This window comes from Homo sapiens, chromosome 11, assembly GCF_000001405.40.
Source record: "Homo sapiens chromosome 11, GRCh38.p14 Primary Assembly".
NCBI classification, from domain to species: Eukaryota; Metazoa; Chordata; class Mammalia; order Primates; family Hominidae; genus Homo; species Homo sapiens.
In genome coordinates, this window is record NC_000011.10 from 4,704,378 (window position 1) to 4,731,877 (window position 27,500).

General features: G+C 39.4%; 1 protein-coding gene and 3 pseudogenes across 2 annotated transcripts in view; 3 read left to right on the forward strand and 1 right to left on the reverse strand.

The window, feature by feature from the left end:
- The first annotated feature begins 406 nt into the window (after positions 1–406).
- Positions 407–27,500, forward strand: part of MMP26 (matrix metallopeptidase 26) — a 287,646-nt gene continuing 260,552 nt past the window's right edge. For both annotated transcript variants that reach the window (NM_021801.5, NM_001384608.1), the window contains exon 1: positions 407–668. The gene's annotated coding sequence lies outside the window, so the exon portion shown is untranslated. The remainder of the gene's footprint in view (positions 669–27,500) is intronic.
- Positions 5,192–6,133, forward strand: OR51F5P (olfactory receptor family 51 subfamily F member 5 pseudogene; annotated as a pseudogene).
- On the forward strand, positions 14,235–15,182 carry OR51C4P (olfactory receptor family 51 subfamily C member 4 pseudogene; annotated as a pseudogene).
- KRT8P49 (keratin 8 pseudogene 49) lies at positions 18,114–19,864 on the reverse strand (annotated as a pseudogene).

Below are 27,500 nucleotides of genomic sequence, written 5' to 3' on the forward strand. Positions count from 1 at the left end.
GTAGTAACTCAGCAACCCCTTTCCTATTTGGGTTCCGTGTCTCGTGATTGCTGTGAAACCGGCAAATGGCAGCTGAGCAAACTCAGCTGTTAATGATCCGTTAACAACAACACTTCTTCCTTACTCTGGCTCTATGCAAAGTTGTCCTACAGCTGTTTAGGGCTCAAATTGCTCTTGAATGAGAATTGAAATTGCAGTTCATCTATAGAATTATCTTTTGGGGAAGAAAGAGTGAAGATAGACTGAAAATATGTTGCCTTTTACAATTTGTTATTTGGAGCACAAAGGGTTAACAGGACACAGCTGTAGGGAGTTCTCCCCTAGGAATTTGCTTTTCTGCTGGGTAAATGACTCTCACCAGGTGACTTCTAGGCTCCTTATAAAGGCTGTTTTTCTCAAATCTGGTAGTTCTCCTATTCCTGAATTTTTTCCCTATGTTTTCTCCTGGCAGAAGAGGACCTCTTTGTCCAGGGGCAGGGCTGATCAGGGGCTGATTCCGCAGCTATAGTAGTACAGAACCTTTCTGCAAGTAAGTTAGTGAGGTTGAGATAACTCTCTCTCACTTGCTTTGCATTAATAGATTCTCTGCTGTGTGGGATGATCCTTCAAATAGCAGGGGGCAGGATCAAATAACCTCACCTTCCAGACCCAAGAATTCTGTGCACAAGGTCAGTGTTGTAGTGCATTGAAGACAGTTATAAATAAATTAGGTACTGTATAACCTTCAGATAGTATATGAAACAAACGCGGAAGTATTCAGAGTAAATGTGAGCATGAACTCAGTAGTGTATTTTCATACGTTATGTCAACTCAAAAATATCGTTGTAGCGTTCAAAATAGTTATTCCAAATATAGACTACAGTCATCAGCATGTGTTTGTTCATGCCACAGTAAAAAAAGAAAAAAAAATTTAAATAAGGAGTTTGCGAGAGCATGGCGTTTGGAGTAAGAACAGAGCTCAATTCCTGAATCTGCCATTGGCTTGTTGGGTGAATTTGAGAACGTCGTATGTTTCCTCTGAGACTCGATTATCTAATCTTACCCTGCTTTCTCACCCATAAAGGGGAGTTATTAATACCCAATAATGGTGTTGTGATAGTAATGAATGTGAAGCTTTGTTGTGAGGGCTGTCTATTTAGATGTTCCTGGTAGTCTGGTAATAGGGATGTTTAAGTTATAGGCTCTGTCATGGAAGAATTCTCAGTGGGGGAGAAAGAGACACTTAAAGAGAACTGTTTAAGAAGAGTTTAATATTTGCTCATTAGTTTTAGCGCAGGACAACTCAAGACTGGTTTAAGAATCACAGAATTTTTTTTAAAAAGCTATTATTGGCCGGGAGCAGTGGCTCACGCCTGTAATCCCAGCACTTTGGGAGGCTGAAGTGGGCAGATCACGAGGTCAGGAGATCGAGACCATCCTGGCCAACATGGTGAAACCCCATCTCTACTAAAATACAAAAAATTAGCTGGGTGTGGTGGCATGTACCTGTAGTCCTAGCTACTCGGGAGGCTGAGGCAAGGGAATTGCTTGAACCTGGGAGGAGTAGGTGATTGTGCCATTGCACTCCAGCTCCAGGAGCAGGGATGGTGGGGGCGGGTGGTGGTGGTGGTGGTGGGGGGAGCTGTTCTTGGACCCATGTTTGCTAATAGAGTTCCCTCTGTTACAAGAATCCTATTACGTTTCCCTTTGATTGCAGGAGTTGAAGAAAGATTCTATGAGCTATGTACAGTGGAAAGGGGGACTCAGATTCAGTGAAGTAAATTGTTTGGCACGTAGAAGGCATTAAATACATTACCACTAATTTTATTAGAGAGAAATATAGCCAAGTACTTAATCTGTTGGGTTTTTCTTTTATGTTTTATTTTTATTTTTGCTGTTTACAATATAGCTATTCTATTTATTTTTATTGTGATAAAATCACACTTGTAATCCCAGCACTTTGGAGGCCAAGGCAGGTGTATTCCTTGAGTTCAATAGTTCAAGACCAGCCTGGGCAACATGGTGAAACCCCATCTCTACAAAAAATAAAAAAAAATTATCCAGGCATGATGGTGTGTGCCTGTAGTCTCAGCTACTTTACAGGTTCTTTACTTGGCGAGCTGAGGCAGGAGGATCACTGGAGCCTGGAAGTTTGAGGCTACAGTGAGCAGTGATTGCGCCACTGCACTCCAGCCTGGGCAACAGAGCAAGACCCTATCTCAAAAAAAAAAAAAAAAAAAAAAGACAGAAAGAAAGAAAGAAAGAAAAGAACACTTAACATGAGATTTACTCTAACTTTTAATAGCACAATACAGTATTGTTAACTATAAGTAAAATGTTGTATATCAGATCTCTGGAACTAATTCTTCTTTAGTAACTGAAACTTTATACCTGTTTAACAGCATCTCCCCCATTTTTCCCTCTCCCTAGTCTGTTGCAATCACCATTCTAGTTTCTGTTTCTATGAGTTTGGCTAAGAGATACTTCACATATAAGTGGAATCATGAAGTATTTCATTTCAGGTTCATCCATGTTGTAGCATGTGTCAGAATATTACTGCTTTTAAGGTTGAATAGTATTCTATTACATGTATGTCTTGTGCTTTCTTTATGCATTCATTTGTTGATGGACATTTAGGTTGTTTCCATATGTTGGCTATTGTGACTAATTCTGCAATGAATATGGAAGTGCAGATACCTCTTTGACTAACTGATTTCCTTTCCTTTGGATATATACTCAGAGTGGATGTGCTGTTTTTCACAGTGGTTGCATGATTTTACATTCTCTCCAACTGTGTACAATAGGTCCAATTTCTTCTCATTCTTGTCAACACTTGCTATTGTTTTTTATAATAAGTATTTTCATAGCTATGAGGTTATATCTCACTGTGATTTTGATGATTTTGATTCACATTTATGTGATTAGTAATGTTGAGCATCTTTTTATATTTGTTGGCCATTTGTATGTTTTGTTTGGAGAAATCTCTATTCAAGTCCTTTGTCCCTTTTTAAATTGAGTTATTTGTGTTTTTGCTACTGAGTTGTAGGAGTTCTTTATATATTTTGAATATTAACCCCTAATCAGGTATTTGGTTTGCAAATTGGGTTTATTTACTATAATAAAAAGAACATTAAATTGAGAGGCTGCTTCCTCATTTTTAAAATAAAGAGTGTATGACCTTGAGGTCATTACTTGCTCTCCACTTCAACTGGGAAAATAAATGTTTTTATCACTAGGTCCAAATCTGAGCAAAGTCCTTGTCTCAAAGATAAATATCAGATTATTGAGAAAACTGCTTGTTTTCCTCCTATGTTGAAATATGTTTTTATGATTGCATGAATTTAACTTATAATTTGAGGGGGCCACATATCGGGAATCACACATATGTGGAAATATTAAGCACTGGGGTTTATCACTATTTTCAGAAGCAGTTCATTCATTCATTTAATAGATACTTTTAGATGCTGTTGTGCTAGCCATTTTTTCTGGCTCTGAGATCGTAGGTCTGAGAAAAAATGGTCCTTATATTTTCCTGGGAGTCATTTTTGCCTTAGTGGCCATGTCTCCTCAGTTTCATTAGAGGACGCTTCTTCTGGTCTTTTCTTTAAATACTGCTGTTCCCCAGCACTCTGTCCTCAGACTTCATTTCCCTTAGATTTATTACTCTAAGATATTTTTCACTGATCCTGTGACTTCAACCATAGACATTAGTTTCACAACTCTCAAGCCCTATTATCAGGGCAGGAGTCATTTTCCCTAGGATGCAGAAGTAGGTACATGTCCCGATTCTCGTATGTAAAGTCACAGGTGAAAAAGTGAAGCTTATCTTCCAACTGAGATCCAAGGCTTGACTCGAAGATCCATAGCTTTTGTTTTGTCTTGCATTGCCTCTCAATTCAAAATTTCCAGCCACTATCTTTCTTTGCGTGTGTGTGAGAACTCAAAGAGGCTTCCTGTATTGAACATTTTTCCTTCTTCTCAAATACCTAGAGAAATGCCCTCTTGAACACACTTCCTGTAACCAGTTATTCTTACTGATGTCTAAGCTCCTGTCTTTTCATTCGGGGGGTTGCAATGAAGATAACTAAGTTAACCTATACTCAAATATTTTCTTTCTCAGGGTCAGACCTTCTTAAAGTAGCAAGTCTAATTCTAATGCACACACTAACACTGTAGGTATTTAATTTTTTTGAGTAAATACATGCATGAGTAAGTAAAAGGGGAACATAAATATGTTAAAAACCAAACATTCTTTCTATAGATAAAAACAGTGTCAGAAAACTTAAGACAAGAAGCAATATACAGAAACATTTTCAATCCTACAGATTTATGGATCTGGGTGAGCATACACTTAGATCTCCAGAGAAAACCTCCTTCCCCCAGCCAATCTATTCTCAATGCCCTTTTGCAGAAATGGAAAATCAAGAAACTTGCTCAGGTAAATACTCCAGTTATTATCCATGACTTTCCAATGAATTCCTTTGTTCTTGTTAAGGTTATTTAAGCCATCTTTTTTCAGGCAGAATATCCTTTGAACATAATCAACTTCTCAATTATTACATGTATAAACAAACCTTTTTTCTACTGTCACCCACTGTGGTCCATTTAGATTTAATTGTTTCTTTCCTGGTACTTAGTTTTATTTATTTATTTTTTTCACTCAACAGCTATTGTGTATTCATTTGATCAGGAGTATTTTACTAGAAAATGTTTAATATTATCTTATTCTCTTACTTTCATTGGGTCACATGGACTTATAAACTTTAATGCACCTTAGGGTTTTTGCCGCAGAAACTGAGAAGTGAAGAAAAGCAGGGTGAATTTCCTGTTGTGTTTCTTATGGCTGTCCGGAAATATCCCATCTGCCCGTGTACATACAGTCATAGAAATGGGAAACATTTTCTATTATTGAAACTAATCTCCTGTTTTATATATGTATATATAAGTATCCTGAAGCCTAGATGTAATATAATGGGAATCTTGCTAAAAACCAGGTTTCTTTACACAATTTAGTGTCTGTGTCCTCTCCTAGTTCATTCAAGAACACATATAAGAAAACAGTAAGTGGCTATGCATTTTCATTGAAGAATAGGATGTGGTTCTCTAGTGATCACAAATTGTATGGTGTATAGAAGAAAGTGAAAATGCTTTTCTTCTCCATTATTACAGGACATAGTTCTTTTCCTCAAAGACATCTGCTTCTTCGCTCATCATGCCATCCTTCAACCAGAGTATTTTCCACCCTGCAGTCTTCTTCCTTACTGGCATCCCTGGCCTTGAAACCCGTCAGATCTGGACCTCCATCCCATTCTGTTGTCTCTATGTCATTGCTATCTCTGGGAATGGCATGATCCTGTTTGTCATCATCACTGAGTCAAGCCTCCATGAACCCATGTATCATTTTCTCTCCATGCTATCCTTCATGGACCTAGGTCTGTGTCTTTCTACATTGACCACCATGCTGGGTATTTTCTGGTTCAATGCTCGAGAAATCAGTTTTGATGCCTGCATTGGCCAAATGTTCTTTATCCATGGCTTCACATTCATGGAGTCCTCAGTACTTTTGGCAATGGCCTTTGACCGCTTTATTGCCGTCTGTAACCCACTGAGATATGCCACAATCTTAACCAATTCACGGATTATTAAAGTGGGCTTTGCAATTGTTCTTAGGGGAACAACAGCTCTAGTGCCTCTACTCCTGCTCCTTAAGCGCCTCTCCTTCTGCCGTAGTCATGTGCTCCACCATTCCTACTGCTTCCACCCTGATGCGATGAAGCTCTCATGCACAGACACATGGATCAACAGTGCATTTGGCCTGGCCATTGTTATCTCTACTGCTGGCTTAGACTCTGTCTTGATCCTCATCTCCTATGTTCTGATCGTCCGCTCTGTGCTCTGCATTGCCTCCCCAGAGGAGCAGAAAAAGGCTTTTGGTACCTGTGTCTCTCACATCAGTGCAGTTGCCATCTTCTACATCCCCATGATCAGTTTGTCACCAGTGCACAGATTTGGAAAGCATGCCCCTCCCCTTGTGCACATGCTCATTGCCAATGTTTATCTGCTTATCCCTCCTGTAATGAATCCCATAATCTACAGTGTAAAGACCAAGTAAATTCGCAAGGCTGTGCTCAAAGCATTTCTTTCTAAGCTAATTTAGGGAAGTTTGAGTGTACTCCTTCTTTACCAAGTCTTCCCTGACCCATGTTTGATCATTCAGTACTGTGAGTTACTGTTGTTTATTGAAACAGCTGGTTTCAACATGCTTTCTTTCTATTCTGATGATCCACTAACTTACCATTTACACAGTTCTAAATGGTGAGTTATTTAAGGGCAGAGATTATGTCGGTACTTCTGATCCTTTCATGAATACTGAACCTAGCACAGTATAGGACCACAGTTAAAATATGTCTGAAAGCATGCACAAGTAAAGTCATACTTGGAGTTTAGGAGTCTCACCACCTCTAGAGCATGTAGCTATCCAAAGTAGATCTCATGTAACGTAGATCAGTAGGCAAAGTCTAGGTTTTAGTAATTCTTACAGTTTATTTGTGATGATTCATTATTCCACCAGACAGATTGTAAATGGCTGAAGAATATGAATAAGCACAATAAGCAAGAAGTATTAATAAAAGGACTACTTTCCTAATTCTTAAAAGAGTACTTGAGGTCACCTTGGTAAATGCATTTGTATTTTAATAGTAGAAGATCTGGGGGTCCATTGTCTAAATATATGTCTAAAGAAGAAAAATGGGCAAGAATGTAAAGATATATTGTGATGTTCAACACATCATTCATTATACATTGCAATGAACATGTGGAAACTGCTTAAATAATTACTTTAGGGTACTGACCTAATAAAACATAAAATACAATGCAACAAGTTAAATACTGATACAAATATAAATTACATTTTGTTAAAAAATATAGGTTAGTATACAAAGTACTTACTTGTGTATATATTTCATGTGAATATGTGTAAATGCACATTAAAAAGTATAAATAGACATATCCCAAACATTACAACAGCTTATATTTGATAGCTGGATATTGTTTTGCTGACATATTCTTTACACTTTCTTGCATTTTATAAATGTTCAATAATGAGGGTTTCTTTTTCTTTTTGGATAATGAAGTAATTTCCACTTAATACCTTCCCACAAAACAAAACTTTTTTAGTTCTTCATCTTACATAAGATCTTCATTCCAGTGGGTCTTCACAGATCTGGCCTCATGCAACCCACTGAATACACTCATAAGATGACATCCACTTTCTACTTGCATCTATCACTTTTCTCAATGTGGTCCAGCATCTGTGCATCCAAACCACTTGACACTTCCGTTTAAAGTGCAGATTCCTCAATTCCGCTCCAGAGCTACTTAAACAGAAGCCCTTGAAATGGAACCCACAAATTTGCATTTTAACAAGACATTTACGGATTATCATGTATGAAAGAGTAACACTTTTCTGGGGTCTATCCACTTTGATGAATTATATATATTTCTGAAAAACACCAGGAATATATTGCCTCTAAGTCTGTGATTATTTTGCTCTCTCTGACTGACATACCCACCTCTTTCTTTTCCTGATTGTTCCATTTATTATTCTTTCAGGTGCTGTTAATAAATCTTTGTCTTACAGGGAGTCAGATTTCTCTTCCCCTACTGATCTGAAACTTTTTGAAAATGGGCATTGGACTTTGGGAATTGATGTATCTCGCACAGATACAAGTGCAGTGCTTTATTAATAATAGCTACTTAATGTATGCTTATTGAATTAAATTTATTTTTATATAACTTCACATATATACTGACATATTTTGAGCATCTTCATTTTGGCAAACACTGTGGAAGGGAGGTACTAGGGATAAAACAGTGAATGGGGAAGGCACAGCCTTCATTCTTAAGGTGTTTAAATCTGACTAAACATATCTAAATTCAAACAATATTTTAATCAGTTTTTACTTACAAACTGTGTACAAAACATTATACCACATGCTAAGAGTAGTCATAGATGGCGGTCTCTCTTTCTCCCAGTAGAAGCCTGAACCAATGGAAAAACAACCAGCCCAGGAAATACTTGACTTAATAAGAAAAATATAGCTCCTAGAAATTTACTGTTTAATAGAGAAAATATAATATGCACTCATTTCTAAGCAATGAAAGCATAAACATAAGTTATTTAAATTTCATATGGATAGGAAAAGTTTTCAAAAATAATTTTGAAGTTGGAGCAACCACATTTTTGGGTGTATCTTAAAATAGATGTACTAAGAATGTTATTGTGAAAGTAACAATTTTGATTCATGCTTTAATAATGTAATTTATGAAGTGTCAATTACAGATAATCTTGTATAGTATAGTTATACGTACCTTAATAAAATCCACTTTGAAGTATATTTATTTTCTCTCTTTATAAAGTAATACTTTATATTTTTTCTTATTTCTAAGTTTTTTTTTCTTTTAATCTTACAGCTTATATCTCTTATTTTTCCCTACTATCTATGTTACACTCTGAATTCAACAACATCCAATACTATGGTCTATACATTTTGCTTTTATTTATAGTCCATCTGAAACAATGGTTGTTTAAAACTGTGAGAACTAATGCTGAAAATAGTAGTCTGGTTAATCTGAAGTAGACTTTGAAAGAGTAGGCGATAGGGTGTTGAGGTTCTGTTTGAGAATGTCTTCTAAATTGACATTTCTATAAACGGATATATCAGAGTTTAGGGGGAAAATGTGATGTTTGTACCATTCAGGTTGATATTGAAACCAAGCAGAAAACTGCAATATATTAGGGATTCTCAAATTAGGTGCCTGACTTCCTCAGCTGCTTCACGTGGAGCTGTAAAAATGCATTTTTCTAGGGAAGAGGAAAGACTAAGTTCCATGCTGTGTTATTTGTATTATGTTATTTAGATTCAAATGACTTAGGATGCATAAAAGATCTTCATGCCTAACATAGATCCTGTCTCCCTATTTAGCTTCATCTCTCCCCCACACTGGCACCCAGGGTTCCAAGTGAGCTGAGTCTGTTATTAGTCACCTTCTGTTCTTCCTACACTCTGTGCTCCATTGTCTCCTGACAGACCTGGTTCTGAGTTTCCTTCAGGATAAACACAACTCTTCTGTACTGTCATCGTAAATATCCCTCATTGTAAACACTGAGTTTTATGTCTGTTTCCACAGGTGGTTCCCTCCAAGGAGCTCTGGAGGGAAAAGACTCTGTTTTATTCTCTGTATTACCAGTACAAAGTCCTAGAATATGAAAGATACTTCAAATGTTCCATGAAAGAATAAATGAAGATTTTTGGGGGGCATAGAGTGAAGCACAAGCAGAGGGGTTTCTAAAAATATATAAAATTCACCTAAATAATATAGGAGGAAGATAAGTTTATCAGTTGGGTGTGGGAGTGGTGTGAAGATGAGGGGCGATCTGGTGGGTTTTTTTGGGAGGGTGTGGTTACTCACAAATTTACTTTTAAGAAAATTTTAACAACACATAAGATCAAAGACCTGTAACAGCAGTCCCTTCATGGAAACTATAAAAGAACATGAAGTAGAAGGAGAAGAAAGCCATGAAGTAGAATGAGCCCTTGGGAAGCTTCATACTCTGGGGGCTGCAGAAATCACCACCAGGAGCTTATTAAGAGCTTTCAGGCATCCTGAGATATGGCTTCAGATATATGCTACTTATTTCTGGGTAGAATACATCCCCAGCTCCTCAGGCTCCTTTCTGGAAAACAGGCAGGAAAGAACACATCCTTATACTTTGTAAGTAAAACTGCTGCATTTACGAAAAACATTACACTTTACACGCCCTGGTTTCTTTTAAGAATGAGGGGGACTTTATTAGCTGCAGAAAGCTCTTGTGGGTGCCTAAGGAAAATTGTGGAAATCTATTTTCTGAAATCTGTATTTTCTAGGAACATTCTATTCTGAGGAGGTTTGATTGGTCTATGAGCCATTTGTTTTGCTGCTTAGAGCAGGTTGTTAATGTGTCCATGCAATTTTAAGTTTCCTGGTTAGTTGTGTCACATTTTATAACTGCCACTGAAGGTCCTAAAGTCAACAGCCACTACCACCGTCACACACACTGCCACTGCCATTCTTATCCTCATCCTCATCTTCATTTACCAATATCACGTGACTTCCACGTCCCACACACTGGTCAGCATATTATATGCTTTGCAATGTTATCTTGTTTAATCCTTACAAAGTAGTGCCATTGGTGAACTACCAGTTTCACCTTAGTGGAATCTGATGTAAAGTGCTTATTTGGAGAACTCCGGCTAGCTCTAGGTGGCAGAGACCAAATTTGAACCTAGGTTTGTATGACGGTATAACAATATCACTTACTCTGTAATCAGAGAAGAGAGATAAGTCAAGGTAGCCCAGGAAATAACTTGAAACACATTCTTACAATGGGCCTGGAGTGTTATCTTGGTATAATAGGAAGATAATTACTGTCAACAAATGGGAGGGCACATAAAAGTTAACCCTCCAATACTAGGACAGAGTCTTCCATCAGTAAAACCCCAAATCTCTCTCTCTCTCTCTCTCTCACACACACACACACACACACACACACACACACACACATTACTCAGTTTGTGAGAACACTGGAGAGCTCTGTGCGATTCTTCCAGAAGCCACATATATAATTTTAGGCAACACAGCATGTTTTAAATAGACAAAATTGAATGTGTTGAGGTCCTGAGATGTGTTCAGAATCTTGGTCAGTTAACAACTCTTGGATTGAATTCACATCAACATGTATATATTGTATGCCCATACTTCTCAAAATATATTTCAAGGTATTGGGAATATAACGATGAAAAAACAATGAACTACCTTCCAGTAACTTAATTTTGTTAGAGAGGTGTATTTGATCGTACAATGGAATAAACACTATTTTAGATGCATAAATATAAAAGAATATCGTTTCATCAAGCTGTTATCAAATAAAGTCTTTTTTTCCTGTAAAAAAAAAAAAAAGAATATAACTCCAGAGGAAGAAGTAAGTTCTTCTGACTTGACTTAGAGTAGGTGATGCCACCAAATGCTTCCTGAAATAAATTCATGTTTAATTTATACGTAGTTCGGTGGATCAAATAGTGGATCTAAAATTTTTTGTCTTATTCAAAAAAGAGAGAACTACATGAATTAAGCAAGCACATTAGTGTGAAAGAACTTGCTATATTTGGTAGTTTGGTGAAGTAGGGAAAAGCCCAGGTGGAGTATATAAAAAGATTTCTGAGGGTAGGGAGGAAGGTCACTAATAAAACTGGAAGATAAATATGGTCAATCAAGAGACATTTCAGAAGTTGAACCTATAAAGATTTGGAGACTGGATAGCCATGACAGATGGGGTTGGTAGAATTCTAAAAGGGCTCTAAAGATTTCTGCCCATCCTGGTGTACTTGTCCTGAGCAATACCCATGCCTTGGGTGTGTGAGTGGGGCCTGTGAATGTGATGGGATATCACTCCCATGATTACGTTACATTATATGGCAAAAGGATTTAACAGATGTAACTAAGGTCCCTGATTACTTGACTTTGAGTTAATCAAAAGGAAGACTATCCTGCTAGGGCTTACCTAATCACGGAAGTCTTTAAAAGAGAGAAGAATCTCGAAGGAGGTTCTACTGCTGGATTTGAAGACCTAAGATGTCATATTGTGAGAAGAACACATGACTGGGACTGAGGGTAGCCTCTAGAAGCTAAAAGCCCAGCAAGAAATTGGAGACCTCAACCATATACCACAAGGAACTAAATTCCTACGGCAATCTGAGTGAGGATTGTAATTAAGAACAATCTCCAATTGTTCCTCTCCAATTAAGAACATGGTACTGGCTGGAATTTTAATTTCAACCGTGCGAGATCCTGAGTAGTGCACCTACTTTTGCTGTGCTCAGACATCTGCCTTACTGAACTGTGAGGTAATATATGTGTCTTGTTTAAAGTCACTGAATTTTTAGTAATTTCTTATGCAGCTATAGACAACTAATGCAACAAAGAATGTTTTGATCAAAAACAGAACCAGATTTCAAATATAGGTATGAATCATGAGGGAGGGAAATGAGGATAGACAAATCATTTTATGAGTTGTTGGTGTAGGAAAGGAGATACACACAGCAGGGATGCAGGCTAAGAAGAACGTTGTTCTTGTTGTTTTTAATTATATTTAGATTGAGGGATAAATTGCATGTTTATATAGATTGTATGAATAGAAAAAATCTCTTATGCTTTTGAAGCAAAGAAGATAATTCCATACTTGATCTCTCTTACCTCTTTTTTTTTTTTTTTTTTTTTTTTTTTTGAGATGGAGTTTCGCTCTTGTTGCCCAGCCTGGAGTGCAATGGTGCGATCTCAGCTCATTGCAACCTCCACTTCCCAGGTTCAAGCGATTCTCCTGCCTCAGCCTCCTAAGTAGCTGGGATTACACGTGTGTGCCAACATGCCTGGCTAATGTTTTGTATTTTTAGTAGAGATGGGGTCTCACCATTTTGGCCAGGCTGGTCTCAAACTCCTGACCTCAGTTGATCACCTGCCTCGGCCTCCCAAAGTGCTGGGATTACAGGCATGAGCCACCGTTCCCAGCCCTTTCTTACCTCTTAAACACTACCTTTTGGTACGTTTTATCTCACACTTTAGTGGCATTTCTAAAATATCTGAAACCCCATTGCCTTTGAATATGCTTAGAATTTCTTTCATGATGATTTTCACTTATCAGCCTCTGCTCGACAATTCTTTACTTACTCAGAGAAGCCGTTTGACTCCATCCCCTCCAACTTTCTAATATAGATACCTCTGTATTTTAAATACAGTCTTATTATTTGTTTGTTTGCACATTTGTTTTCTGAACTATCCTATTATTTCCTTATGATCCTCAGGGCAGGTGCAATACTTGACTTGGCTCTGTATCTCAACAGTCTGGATTGCGGCTTGCACTCAGTAATGTTTGATGTTAAACAAAGCTAACATCCAAGATAGATTGAGACTAGGTAATGGGGGTTGTCTGGAAAGGAGTAAGAGCTCTTCTTTTTAACTTGGAAAGATGAAGAAAGGATGAGAAAAACATAGTTGTAGCGGAAGAAGAGATGAAATGAGAAAGAGATATTAACCAGTGGATATTACCTAAATTAGATTTAGAATATTTCCATGTTGTTTTTTTTTTTTCTCAGCTACCAGATAAAGAGACAAGTAGATACATGATGGTGGGGGTTGGGGATAGATTTTGGAAAACAATGTGTGTACACTTTTTTAACTTTAATTTTTCTCTTTAATGATAATAACTAACATTTGGTAAGTTTTTTACCACAGTGAGATGCTCTGCTGAGATTTTCACATACGTTAATCTTCACAACAGTCCTGTGGATATGCATACCATTGTTACTTTAGAGATGGGGAAAATGAGGCACATACAGTTTAGTAACTCATCATGTGGTAACCCAGCTGGTAAATGTCAAGAGTATTTTAACCCAGTTAAAATTTATAACATGCAGCTGTAAAAAACGTTGACTTGGGATGCAGGATAAAAATTCATAACATTAAACTATCCATAATACTTTCATACTGGAGGCCCCATATATTCTAATTCTGGCTTATACATAAGTATATGTTTTTATATCTAACTCACACTCGCTATGTGGTATGAAAATTTCTTAGGGACAGTTTAAATTTTAATATCACGAATAGACTGTATGCTTGTCCAGGGTATTATCACACTGCAGATAGTAGGGGATCAACAAATGTTGGCTATTTATTAGACATATTGGATCTGATTCTGATTGAAAGAAAATAGCAGGAGATAAAGAGAGGATTTTTTGGATGGGCCTCTAAAAGCTAGCGTAATTCAATTACTGTATCAGAATCACTGCATATATTACTCTTTGTCTAAAATATCATACAACCCTTTGAACACACTTCAACAAATATTTGCTGACTACCTACCACTTGAAGTCACTTATCAGACATGTGAACTTAAATAAGACGGAATGCTGCTCTCTTTGTTTTTGTGCAAATTCTGTATCCTCAGGGAACCATTCATTTCCTGTTTTCTGCTCCTTTGTTTGATGTGGCCTTCATTTGTTGTTGCCATTAACCAATCTTTATGGGCTTTCTATATAAGGTAGACATTATCTTTTATAAATGTTTACTTGGTGAAATAATTTCAGATTAAATGCATAATAAACAAATACAGTTTATCATTGCCAGACACTCAGCTTAAGATTCTGCCATTTGAGTTCAATATGTCAACTTTGCAGAATATCACCTCCACTTCCATCATTTTCCTGCTCCCTGGTGTTCCTGGGCTGGAAGCCTTCCACACCTGGATCTCCATTCCCTTCTGCTTCCTCTATGTAACTGCCCTCTCAGGAAACAGCCTGATCCTCTTTGCCATCGTTACTCAGCCCAGCCTCCACGAACCCATGTATTATTTCCTCTCCATGCTGTCCACCACTGACCTCGGCCTGTCCATATCCACTCTGGTCACCATTCTGGGTATATTCTGCTTCAATGTGAGGGAAATCAGCTTTAATGCCCGCTTGTCCCAGATGTTCTTTCTTCAACTCTTCACTGTCATGGAATCTTCAGTGCTGTTGGCCATGGCTTTTGATCGTTTTGTGGCCATTACTAATCCTCTTAGATATGCTTCTGTCTTAACTGATCTTAAAATAGCACAGATTTGAGTAGCAATTATCACCAGGGGAACAATAACACTGACTCCTATGGTGTTGCTTCTTAAAAGACTGTCCTACTGCTGCAGCCACGTGCTCCACCACTCCTATTGCTTTTACCCTGATGTGATGAAGCTCTCATGCACAGACACCAGGATCAACAGTGCAGTTGGGCTGACTGCCCTGATTACCACTGCTGGGGCAGATTCTGTCTTTATTGTCCTGTCTTATATTTTGATCATTAAGACTGTTCTCAGCATTGCTTCCCCGGAAGAAAGGAAGAAAGCCTTCAGCACATGTATCTCCCATATTGGGGCTGTTGCTGTATTTTACATTCCATTGATCACTCTGTCCTTTGTTCACAGGTTTGGGAAGCAGGCCCCACCCTATGTGCATACTTTGATTGCCAATGCCTACCTACTAATCCCTCCTGTAATGAACCCCATCATCTACAGTGTGAAGACCAAACAGATACGCTAGGCTGTGCTAAAAGTACTCCATTGTAGCACGGCAAAGAACTAGATGAACCTTTCAATTTTTTCTAGTCTTTGTCATTTTATAGATGAGTAAAATGCCATTCAGAGAGGTTAATATGTTTAGACTCAGGCTTGTATTTAAAGTTTCCCAAAATACAACTTAGTTTGAAGTAAGAAGACTGTGAACTCAGAGAGATTAATATGAGCTGAAGATTCTCAAGGATACCATTCTTTTCCTTTGATAGTCATGATGATAATAAGAACATTTGTACATTTGAGATGAATCATTTTCAAAGACTTTGTTAACTAATGGTGCAGCTTAGTTTGCAAATGCGGTATTATTTTGTTTTAAAAAAATAGAAAAAGAGAAAGTGTCTACTTATTATTTAAACTTCTCCCTTAAAGAGATAAGTAACATCACGCTGCTCTCAAATGGGAATAAAAAGTGCATTAACAATTTCAAATTACTGAATCTTATAAACGAAATTTACCATAGACAGCTTGCCGTGTCCATGGTTACTCAATTGTTCCAAATATTTTTACTTTCCTTTGCCTCTGGCCTCCTTGACCTCCACATTTAACAGCTAGTATAATAAATAAATATTTTATTGCATTGTCAGTAACCGAACTGTATTTGGTCAAATATTCATACTTTCTCCCAGCTCTTCAGGGAAGATGTCGAGCATAAGCATTCTGTGAAATACAACTATGCTTAATTCAACTCCAATCTGTATAGTTTCTTCAGAAGTAGTAATGTCATGCTTATTGCTAAACAAGCGTGTTCCTGCTTTTGGGAAATACCATCTTCAAATAAATTAATTTTCTGTAAGGCCTCAAGGTTAACAAGAAGCAAATACAGAAATATTTTAATCTGGTGGGATTTATAATGCTATGCTTGGACCTTATCCTCAAGGAAAGTTGAAGTGGATATGCTATTCGGGTCTAGATTGAAAAATAGAAATCACACCAGTGACTAACACAGGAAGCATTTAGTACAAAGAACTGGATAAACAGGTATTAGAGGACTGAAAGGGAAAAAAAGGAACACAGGAATAATGCAGGGATAATAACTACAGGAAGTTTCCTCTACTTATATGACCTTGGGAACAAAGAGAAGAGTTTGGGCTTATTAAAAACTATGATTTTGGTGGAGAGTTCCCCCAAGAGCTTATATTCTGACCTATAATGAGAGGGAGCTGCTCTTTTGGTTCTGGTACCTTAGGAGTTCAAAGGATGGAGAACATGAGGCCAAGAGCCAACCTTGCAGGAAAGGGGACTTCCCCGCTCGCTATAGCTCATGCCTCAGGAACACCACAGAAAGACCTCTCGTGGAGTTGAGACTTAGGTCCCTGAATACAGCCCACTGATGGTTGATTCTATTTCTTCTGAGGGGCATGATGAGATTATTGCTGGAAGTGTGGGAAAAAATAAAACTAGAAACTGGAACCAATGCATCTGGGCAAAGAACTATTGCTGTGATGGCACTGATAGGGACAACAAGCAAACATGATAGACATATTTGTCCCTACAGCAGCTTCCGGTGTCCTAGCCTCCCCCAATTAATGGACCATAGCAGGGAACCAAACAATTATTCTGATTCATGAGTTGCAGCCTTCTTATCAAAAGCAGAGTCTATAGAATGGTGGATTTGGAGCTGAGAAAGCCAATAGCCACCACAATGGAGTAAGGTGCTTGTAACGCAAGCTCAATATGGTCATGATAGGGGTTTTATTAGGTACTCCATCCTGGACTGCTGTTAATAACAGCAGTAACTAATAACTACAGCCAGCTAAATGCTTTCACAGTTCACCAAGTATCATTACATACAATCTTCTGAAAGCATGCTAGTTGACAATTTTGGGGTATTTCTTGGGGATGTTTTCTCTCCTTTCTACCAAATATCTACTTCTCCTAGGACATGCCCCCTCTCTCCTCCACCACTTCAGGTCTCCTGTGCAATGGCCAGCAACAGAGTTTCAAGTTGTGTCTGAGTCAATGGCTGTTTTGGAGCTTACTGGCTTTCAAGGACTCTTTGTCTTATCTCTCATCTTTCCAATTGCTCTCATGTCTGTTCATGAGTGGATTTTTTTCCCAAAGACAGAGAATATGGCATATCTATTTTTAGGTGATATATTTTGACTGGAAACTTGTGCTCATTATTTTCACTGTCATCTTAATATCCAGTTCTAGTGTCTATTATTTTGTGCTTTTCTTCATGCTTCAGGGTGTTGACCAAAATGGACTGCATCATCAGGTTCTCTTGTGAGCTGACTTGGGGTTGGGTTCACAAAACCAAAGGCACCAGAAGGAGAATGTAGAGTTGGAGGAGACATTCTGCTTTGACAATGTTTCGTCCTCCTGCTTTGGCCCCTGGAATCATAATGGTTTCTCACTATCACCAGTCTCCAGGCATCTCAGCATCCCTTGTGATACTGTTTGGATCTCTGTCCCGACCCAAATCTCATGTTGAAATGTAATCCCCAATGGGTCACATCTTCCTTTTGCTCCAACCGTGTGAAGTGCATTGTTCTCACTTTGCCTTCTGCCATGATTGAAAGCTTCCTGAGGCCTCCCCAGAAGCAGAAGTCGCTATACTTCTTGCATAGCCTGCAAAACTGTGAGCCAGTTAAACCTCTTTTCTTTATAAGTTACCCAGTCTCAGGTATTTATTTATAGCAGTGTGAGAATGGACTAACACACCTTGTTTGTTTCCTAAGCCATGTCCATTATTCTATAATTCATTTTTTCACTGGCATCTCTCACTTTAAATTATTCTGAATTTTGTTTATTTCCTGCTGATTTTGTGACTGATACATATCTCTTTAATGAGCAAAGATAATGACTCCTTGATCTTAATAGGTCTACTTTTACTTAATCTTAAATACTTTTTGAGTTTGAAATGCATTTAATAGATGCCAATTGGTTTTTCACCACCTAAGGCGTGAAGTAATTACTTTTTTTTTTTTTTTTTTTTTTGGCAGGGTTAGCTGAGGATTTATTTAGGACAGGAAAAAAAAAAAAGCAATTGAATTGTTTTGTAGCTGGAGGCACGGGCAAGGGGTGTCCTCAGGCACTAAACTCCCCCGTGGGTGGGCTGAGGGCTAGGGCTGAGCCTCAGGTGGGTCCCCTGTTCCCTGTGCTACCCTGCACAGTGGCCTCCCTCCTGTGCTTTCCCGCAGCCGCAGGAGGGGCAGGCTGGGAGGGGCTGCCACAGCTGTTCACTTGGGCAGGACGTCAGAGGACTCGGACACCAGCTTCCCTTCGTGGGTCTCGATATTCTTCACAACCACGGCCCTGGTGGAGCTGGTGTGGCTGAAGGAGCTGGAGCCGCGCCAGAGCCAAAGCTGGAGCCCAGGCCATAGCTGAGGCCAGGGCTTGTGAGGCCCCCATAGGCCGAGCTTAGACCACCTGCATAGACACTGGTGGTCTTTGTATGGATACTCATGTTCTGCATCCCAGACTCCAGCCGGCTCTCCTCGCCATCCAGCAGCTTCCTGTAGGTGGCGATCTCGATATCCAGGGCCAGTTTGACTTTCATCAGCTCCTGGTACCCATGCAGCTGTCACGGCATGTTCTGCTTGGCCCGCTGCAGGGCGGCCTCCAGCTCGGACAGCTTGGAGTTGGCATCCTTAATGGCCAGCTCCCCACGCTGCTCGGCATCTGCGATGGCGGCCTCCAGGGAAGCCCTCTGGCCTTTGAGGCCCTCAATCTCAGCCTGGAGCCGGCTGATGTTCCAGTTCATCTTGCAGATCTCAGTCTTGTGCGCTGCGGGTCATCCTCCTGCTTCCCAGCCAGCATCTGCAGCTCCTCATACTTGATCTGGTGCATGCTCTCAGCCTCCGCCCGGCTGCGGTTGGAGATCACCTTGTACTGCGCCTTGACCTCAGCGATAGTGTTGTCCATGTCCAGGGAGCGGCTGCTGTCCATGGACAGCACCACAGATGTGTCCGAAATCTGGGACTGCAGCTCTGGGATCTCCTCTTCATACAGCTGCCTGAGGAAGTTGATCTCGTCAGTCAGCCCTTCCAGGAGAGACTCCAGCTCTACCTTGTTCATGTTAGCTTCATCCACATCCTTCTTGATGAGGACAAATTCATTCTCCAGCTCTGCACACTTATTGATCTCATCCTCATACTTGTTCTTGCAGTTCTCCATCAGCCCTTGCATGTTGCCAAGCTTCAGCTTCTCCTGGCCCAGAGTGTCCAGTTGCCGCCTAAGGTTGTTGATGTAGCTCTCGAACATGTTGTCCATGTTGCTCCGAGCTGTCTTCTGCTGCTGCAGGAGGCTCCACTTGGTCTCCAGCATCTTGTTATGCTGCTCCAGGAACCGTACCTTGTCTATGAAGGAGGCAAACTAGCTGTTGAGGGTCTTGATCTGCTCCTTCTCCTGGGTGCGCATGGCCTGGATGTTGGGATCTACCTCCAGGTTAAGGGGACTCAGCAGGTTCTGGTTGACTGTGTCAGTGGTGATGCCTCCCATGCCGCTGGACCCACCATAACCTCCACCCAGGCTACCCCGGAAGCTGCTGGTACCACTGGGGAAAAGCTTGAGGAGCTGATGCAGGCACCAGGTCCACTCGTGTAGGAGCGGCTGCTGAAGTCCTGGGGGGCTAGAGGTGGACACCTCGTAGGACTTCTGGGTTACCCTGATGGACATGGTAGAGGCAGGAGTGGAGGCAGGCGATGGGCCTGTGAACCAGGTGGATGGGCCTTTGATCTAGGTCTTATTACCATAAGTCTTGCTTCTGCCAGCATTTAAAACCCCAGGAAAAGCAGGATTTTCTCTATACTCTTCAGGGCCTGAAAACAGAAGTGGAAGATGGGGTGGACTTGTGACCTCCTGGTTAGATGACTTGTAGGGATCTGGACACAAAGCCTTGTACATTTTCTCTGGCCTAAATAGCATAGACAGCTAAAGTTTCAGACTAAAAGGAGAGAGGCTTCAGTTCTGCAGTAGTATTGTTCTTTTGACCTTAGTTTACATTAAAAACATAAAAGAATCAATTTACTATTTCCCTTGTGAAACGCAAGGATTAGAAATTTGCCTTTCTAATGGTTTGGAAGCAAAAATTATACCCCAATATTTTGGAGAATATAAAATCTAAAGATAAGGTTGCTATGGTTCCTACACAAAAATCCCAGAAAGGGATATGAGGTGGTAGGAGAAAGTTTTTGTATAAATGAATCCAATAGAACAACTTCGTTTATTGCTATAATACAATGTTAACATTGAATTTTTCCTTCCTAGTTATGGCTGAGACAGAAAAATCGCAGATGCTAAATTCCAAAGTGAGTTGTCAGACTATCAAGGAAAACAGGTCAGGTGACAATGAGAATACACAATTCACTAAAGAATTAAAAAAGTTATTATAGACTGATATGGTTTGGATCTGTGTTCCTGCCTAAATCTCACAATGAATTGTAATCCCTATTGTTGGAGGTGGGGCCTGGTGGAAGGTGATTGGATCACAGGGACAGTTTCTCATGGCTTAACACCATCCCTCTTGGTGCTGTTTTTGCATAGTGATTTCTCGTGAGATCTGGTCGTTTAGGAGTGTATGGCACCTCCCCCTTGCTCCTTCTTCAGCCATGTGAAGTGTTGTTCCCTTTTGCCTTCTGCCATGACTGTAAGTTTCCTGAGGCCTGCCCAGCACCATGCTTCCTGTAGAACCTGCAGAACCATGACATAATTAAACCTCCTTCTTTATAAATTACCCAGTCTCAGGTATTTATAGCAGTGTGAGAACTGACTAATACATAGACATAAAGATAACAGCCTAAAAAGTGAAATTTGAGACTGTTTTTTTTCCTACTAATCTGCATGCCCAAAGAGGAAATAGAGGAACGCATATATAACAGTCTTCTTGGCATCTTAAAATTGCAAATGTCTTTTTACATACCCTAATGGTGAGCTAGCTTAGTGTCTTAAGCAAGAGGCAAATGGTGTCTTTGCAAGAACTGCCAGCTTTTGTTGTCAGAGCCTTGTTTGTTGAGAATTTCTTTTCTTTTTCTTTCTCTGATGTCAGAAAATTGTGATATAGAGGTAGTATGGACACAGTATCTTATGACATAGAAGGTGCTGTTAAATGGGGGTTCTCATCATAAGACTTGTGAAGAGGACCACTTTAGAGAAAGCTGTGTTAAGATTTTATTCACTCTCTCATCAGGTGTTTGAGCAGAGATATAATGGCTCCCTTCAGAGAGATCTGAGGTGGACAGTGAGTGCACTGATGACTGACTCCCTTTGAGAAACCTGAAGATCAGAAAAAGGGAGAGTTTCTGTGGTGGTAGAGTAAAAAGAATTGCAGTTTCTTATATAGGGTCCATACTACTCTCACAAATCTGCTTGTGCAAGACTACCTGAGTGTGTCCTGTGGACCAGAAGTACACTGTGTGCATGTGAGAGAGCCAGTAAGAAGGTCCTCTTAGATGATGTCCAGTAGGGCTGTCTGCAGGCACAGTAAAGCCTCAACAGAAGAGAACTGGAGGTAACCTCTGGGCTGCAGAAAGAAATAGAGCACATTCACCAGACCAAAAGAACCTCTGGTGAGAAACCAGTAGTTTGTTGGGAGACTTTGATGAACTCACAAAAGAAGTCCAAGAGAAGCCCCCCAAACCACTAAGCTTAGCAAATATGAAAACATCTTATGACAATATCGAATAAATAAGAATTTTACTAGGCCGGGCATGGTGGCTCACACCTGTAATCCCAGCACTTTGGGAGACCGAGGAGAATGGATCACTTGAGGTCCAGCCTGGCCAACATGGTGAAACTCAGGCTCTACTAAAAATACAAAATTAGCCAGGTGTGGTGGCATGTGCCTGTAGTCCCAGCTACTCGAAGGCTGAGGCACGAGAATCACTCGAACCCGGGAGACGGAGGTTGAAATGAGCCGAGATCACGCCACCGCACTCCAGCCTGGGAGACAAGAGTGCAACTTCATTAAAAAAAAAAAAATTACCATTGGTTTTATTTTCTTTTCCTTTTAGTTTTGACCTTGACAGCATTAAAATAATAGCTAGTAAGATATGAGTGTGTGAAAGAGAAGCGAAGCCAATGAAGCTTCTCTCTAGATGTCCTGAGGACTACTTGTAGCCAGCTTTAGCTCAGATAGCAGAGAGGAGTATTATTTTTGAATGAAGATGCAAGTGTTGACTAATTTATTTCTAAATTGAAAGTGTGTTTTATAACTTTAAGTAGGACTTTTTGGCCCAGGGTGGTGCTTCACGCTTGTAATCCCAGCACTTTGGGAGGCCAAGGTGGGAGGATCGCTTCAGGCCAGGAGTTTGAGACTAGCCTAAGCAGTATACTGAGATCTGATCTCTACAAAAAAGTTAAAAAATTAGCCAGGCATGATAGGGCTTACACCTGTAGCCCTAGCTACTCAGGAGGCTGAGGCAGGAGGTTCAGGATTGCTTGAGGCCAGGAATTTGAGGTTGCCGTGAACTATGATTATGCCATTGCACTCCATCCTGGGTGAAGACCGGGACCCTGTCTCTAAAACAAAACAAAACAAAAAACAAAAATCCGTAAAAAACAAGTAAGACTTTCTATTTTCTATGATAAGAAAAAACTTACATTGCTTGTCAACATTTTTATCCAAGGGTAAGAAAAAAATGTTTTCCACTGAGTAGCTATAAAAGGAGTGAGGGTTAAAAAACAAATAAGAAAATAAAAACAAAAACAAAAACTCCATTTGCTTTAAAGGTAACATCCCATGCATACTGTTTGTTCATCAACTTTAGTTACGTTATAAAAGACAATCAGTATCACTTCTTTCTTTCAATCAGATGATTTAGAAGGAGATATTGCTCACTGGACATCACATGGTCTGTTTAATAGCATTTGCTAAAATGTTTGCTTACAGTCATCAAACATTTATAAATAGCAAATATAAAAATTTTATTATTTAAAAAGAAATTTTTATGGCCATATTTGAAAAAAATCTGTATTTTTTAAAATGTTTGGTTTAGTACAAGGTACATGACAATCCTAATAAAAAAAAATACTTGGCTGGGCACGGTGGCTCATGCCTGTTATCCCAGCAGTTTGGAAGGCCGAGGCGGGTGGATCACCTGAGGTCAGGAGTTCGAGACCAGCCTGGTCAACATGGTGAAAATCCGTCTCTAATAAAAATACAAAAATCAGTCAGGCATGGTGGCGGGCGCCTGTAATCCCAGCTACTTGGAGGCTGAGGTGAGAGAATTGCTTGAACCCGGGAGGTGGAGATTGCAGTGAGCTGAGATCGTGCCATTGCACTCCATCCTGGGCAACAGAGCAAGACTGTGTCTCAAAACAAAAAACAAAAAACAAACAAACAAAAATCTTCTCTCTTCAGAGTTAGTAGTAATCAAGAAGTCATAGAACAAAATAATGAGCTGTCATTATCCAACTATTAAATTAGAAAATATTTAAGTAAAAATGTCACAACACTGCTGAGTGTAAGTGAGCAGAATATACTCATGATCAGTTATTGGGAGTATAATTGGTACAGTTCTCCTGAGAAGTAAAATTTTAAAAACAAGGTATGTATTAGGAGGTCTAAATTATTAACTTGTAAAATTCAGTAATTTGAATTAAAATGATATATTCAAGGAAAAATAAGATATGAAAAAGTTATTAATAAAGATGCTAGTCACAATTGGATTTTCACATGGCATGAAAAATTGGAAAGGACCTGAGTAATTTAACATAGGGAAATGGTTCCTTGTTAAACATTATATTATAATCCAAGAAGAAATTAAAACTTACACATATTAATCTTGTCTTCATAATGAAGGCATGATTTCCATAGCTTTCCAGAGTACTGGGTACTGACAGCTTATAGCTGAGTCCCTCTCTAGAAATTGCCCTCGGACCAGTGGAGTTGCCACACCCAAGTTTACTATGGGACTTATCCAGTGACTGATCAGTAGAGGAGTACAGAGGCCTTGTCCCCCTTGCCTAGACAACTCTGAAGGGCCATTTCAGCCCTGGAGTGCCCATGGGACTTGTGGCCTCTGTTATAAGTGTGAGAGAATTCAGATCCCCTTTTGCCCAGTCAGGCCTCCCTTCTATTATGGATGCTATTTTAAAAAGGATACTTTAATTAGTTTTCTGCATACAAATCTCTATTTCAGAATTTTTTTCTGACAAATATGATCTAAGGCAAAATATTGCCTTTTGTCCCCTCTTAATAGTCTTCCCCTTTTTTTCTTAGGAGGTGCTTGCTAGAGGTAAACACTATTCTGAAAGTGGTAAGCATCATTCCTTTTAAAGTCTTTAAATTTTTCTTGAATATATACACCTGCACATACACAAACATACACACAGAGCACATGGAATTGTTTAGAAATTTTAAAATCAAGTAAATGCATTCTATTTTACATATTCAATATTCAATGTGCATTTTGCTTTATTAACTAAATCTATTTTGAGATCATGCACGTTGATGTATATAATATTTATATAATTATATATGGTTTAAAAACTTGTGTGTAGTATTTTATGTTAGAAAAATACTACATGCTTTGCATAAAAAATCATCTCCCTAGTCACAGACATTTAAATTGTTCCAATTTTTTGCCATGACTAAAAAAATTAAATATTTTTCATTAAATATTAAATATTAAATATTTTTATCCAAAGCTTTAAAAATTGTACCATAAGCATCTTCCTAGTTCATATGTAAGTTAAATTGTTGGGCGATACAATGTAAAAGTCAGAGTTTAAGCAGAAAATTAGAAGCCACTACAAATATTTTCAAAGGATGTTTTTACTTATGTGATGGAGAATCCTGACAGCCAAGCAGGTGATGGTGAGGTAACCTGATTGCAGCAAGCTACTACATCCTCATGGCTGGAATCTCCTTGGTGTTATTGGAGCTCAGGAGCTGTGACACCCTGACAGAAGGTGGAAATGTGGAGAAAATGCAACACTGCCAGAGAAGCTGCCCCAGACAGAGAGGGGCAGGAAGAAACTTCTTAACTCCTTGCCTCACCTTCAGACTTAACTAGTTTCTCCCATGGGCCAAACCCAACTAGAATACGGTTAACATGGAAGGCTGAGATAGCTAGCCTGCAAGGTTCAGCTCCTTGGAGGTATTGAGCAGAGTAAAATAGGGGAAATAAACGGATTTGAGGGCAAACATGTTCAAGATAATCACAGTCCATTCTTTTTGCTATTCATCAAATATATTTAATGACTTCATGATTTAACCTAACAGGTGTGAGCATATATATATATATAACATAACTTTCCTTTTCTCTGTCAAAAGTGCAAATGAGAAAGCCTCTCATTGAGTTCATTGCAAATCCAGGAAGCCCAAGTGGTAAACAATTCTCCCAATCTGATCAGGCATGGATTTTTGTGGTCTGATGACCTACGTGATGCATCGTAAAGTTAAGTAATATCTGCACTCCTCATACAAGGTAGTGAGGAAAGGGAAAATAACTGGCTAATATATTTGCATTAAAATGCATAGATAATACAGCCCTCATTTTTGTAGCTGGTCATGAGACAATGTTTTACATTTATCGTTTTCTTTAAGCCCGCTAAACTAATACACATCACCTTTTCTTTAGCTTTCACTTTGACTGGTGGTTTACCCAAATTTTTATTCCCCAAAGGACTGTGTTCCCATTGGTCTTTCCCTTATTGGGTTGCTTTAATATTTCCTTTGCCTTTACTATTAGATATGGGACATACGAGGTGCCCCAGTGAAACCTCTGAGTTCCAGATATAGTCTTAACTTCCCCTGTGGGATAGGTGCAACCTGATTTCTCCTTAAGTTTTGGAATCAGTATTGGAAGGGGATGACAGACATTAATAGCACCACTAAAGAGCCAGGATGCAGAGAAAGAATTTCTCATCACATCTCCTTTTATTTTAACACTTAGGTTTCTGGGAAAGAGAGAGAGAGAGAGAGAGAGAGAGCAAGCGAGCATTGAGAGTGATAGGTGACTACTGCATACTCAACCAAACAGGAGCCCTATTTGCTGCTGCTTTGTTAGATCAGATTAGCACAGCTTCCAATGCATGTTATGTGGCTATTGATATTTTTCCATTCATGAGATAAACTGAGGAATAGAAACAGTTTGCCTTTAGTCATAATGTACGATAGTATGCACTCAAGACTACGTTGTCTCTCTGGATCTCTATCACAATGCAGTCTGAGAGACCTGGAGCAGTAAGACATCCCTTAGAGAATCACACTGGTCCACCATACTGATGAGATTATGAAACCATACTAACCATATGAGATGACAAGAACTCCCAAGGATAGCTGGTAGACCCTACAAAGATGCTGCACCCTGCTACATCAGTAAAACTTTCAGTGGTCTGGTAGTCTGAGGTATGCTGGGACATCTCTTCCACAGCAAACGAAAAATATTGCATCTTTCATTTCCAAACACCACAAAGATGCACCATTCTTTATTATTTATTATTTATTTATTTATTTATTTTGAGATGGAGTTTCACTCTTTTTGCCCAGGCTGGAATGCAATGGTGCGATCTTGGTTCACTGCAGCCTCCACCTCCCAGGTTCAAGTGATTCTCCTGCCTCAGCCTCTCGAGTAGCTGGGATTACAGGCGTGCACCACCACTCCAGACTAATTTTGTATGTTTAGTAGAGATGAGGTTTCACTATGTTGGCCAGGCTGGTCTTGAACTCCTGACCTCAGGTGACCGCCTCAGCCTCCCAAAGTGCTGAGATTACAGGTGTGAGCCACTGTGCCTGGCCAGATGCACTATTTTCAGTAGGCCACTTTGGGTTTTAGAGATGGACACACTGAATCAGCTTCCCCACCACTCCCAACACACACACAATTTGGTGTGGCCTCGCTGACACTGAATTTTTCTTGAATGCCAAGAGGGCCCACAATCATTTCTTTCTTTTCTCCCATTAAATGTATAGCTCATTTGTGTAAGTTTTTTCAGTATGAAGATGAGAGCTCTAAGTATCCACTGGCATAAGGACTACGGCTAGCTAGGACATCTGGCACTGATCTGTCTGTACCCTGACATGTAAAGACAGTTGTCAGTGGCTTTGCTGTCCCTTACCCTCTCCTTCCACACTGATGTTTCTAGACGATAAGGAAAGGCACTATAAGATATGCCTACGTATATACCTCTGGTGTGGGGACATTTTCTATAATATTCTGAATTTAATGTTCTATTACTTAATCTAATGTTAAAGAGTTTTTGTGCATGTGTGCATGCACATGTGTGGGTTCATACATGTGGCTATTTCCTGTCAATTCATAGCCCACCAGAAATGATGTATTTAGGGATTCTTCGCTGTATTTAATATTTTGTGTTCATGTTTTTGTAGGTATTGTGTCTATTCACTATGGATGGATTTCCTTCTGTATTGTGGGGA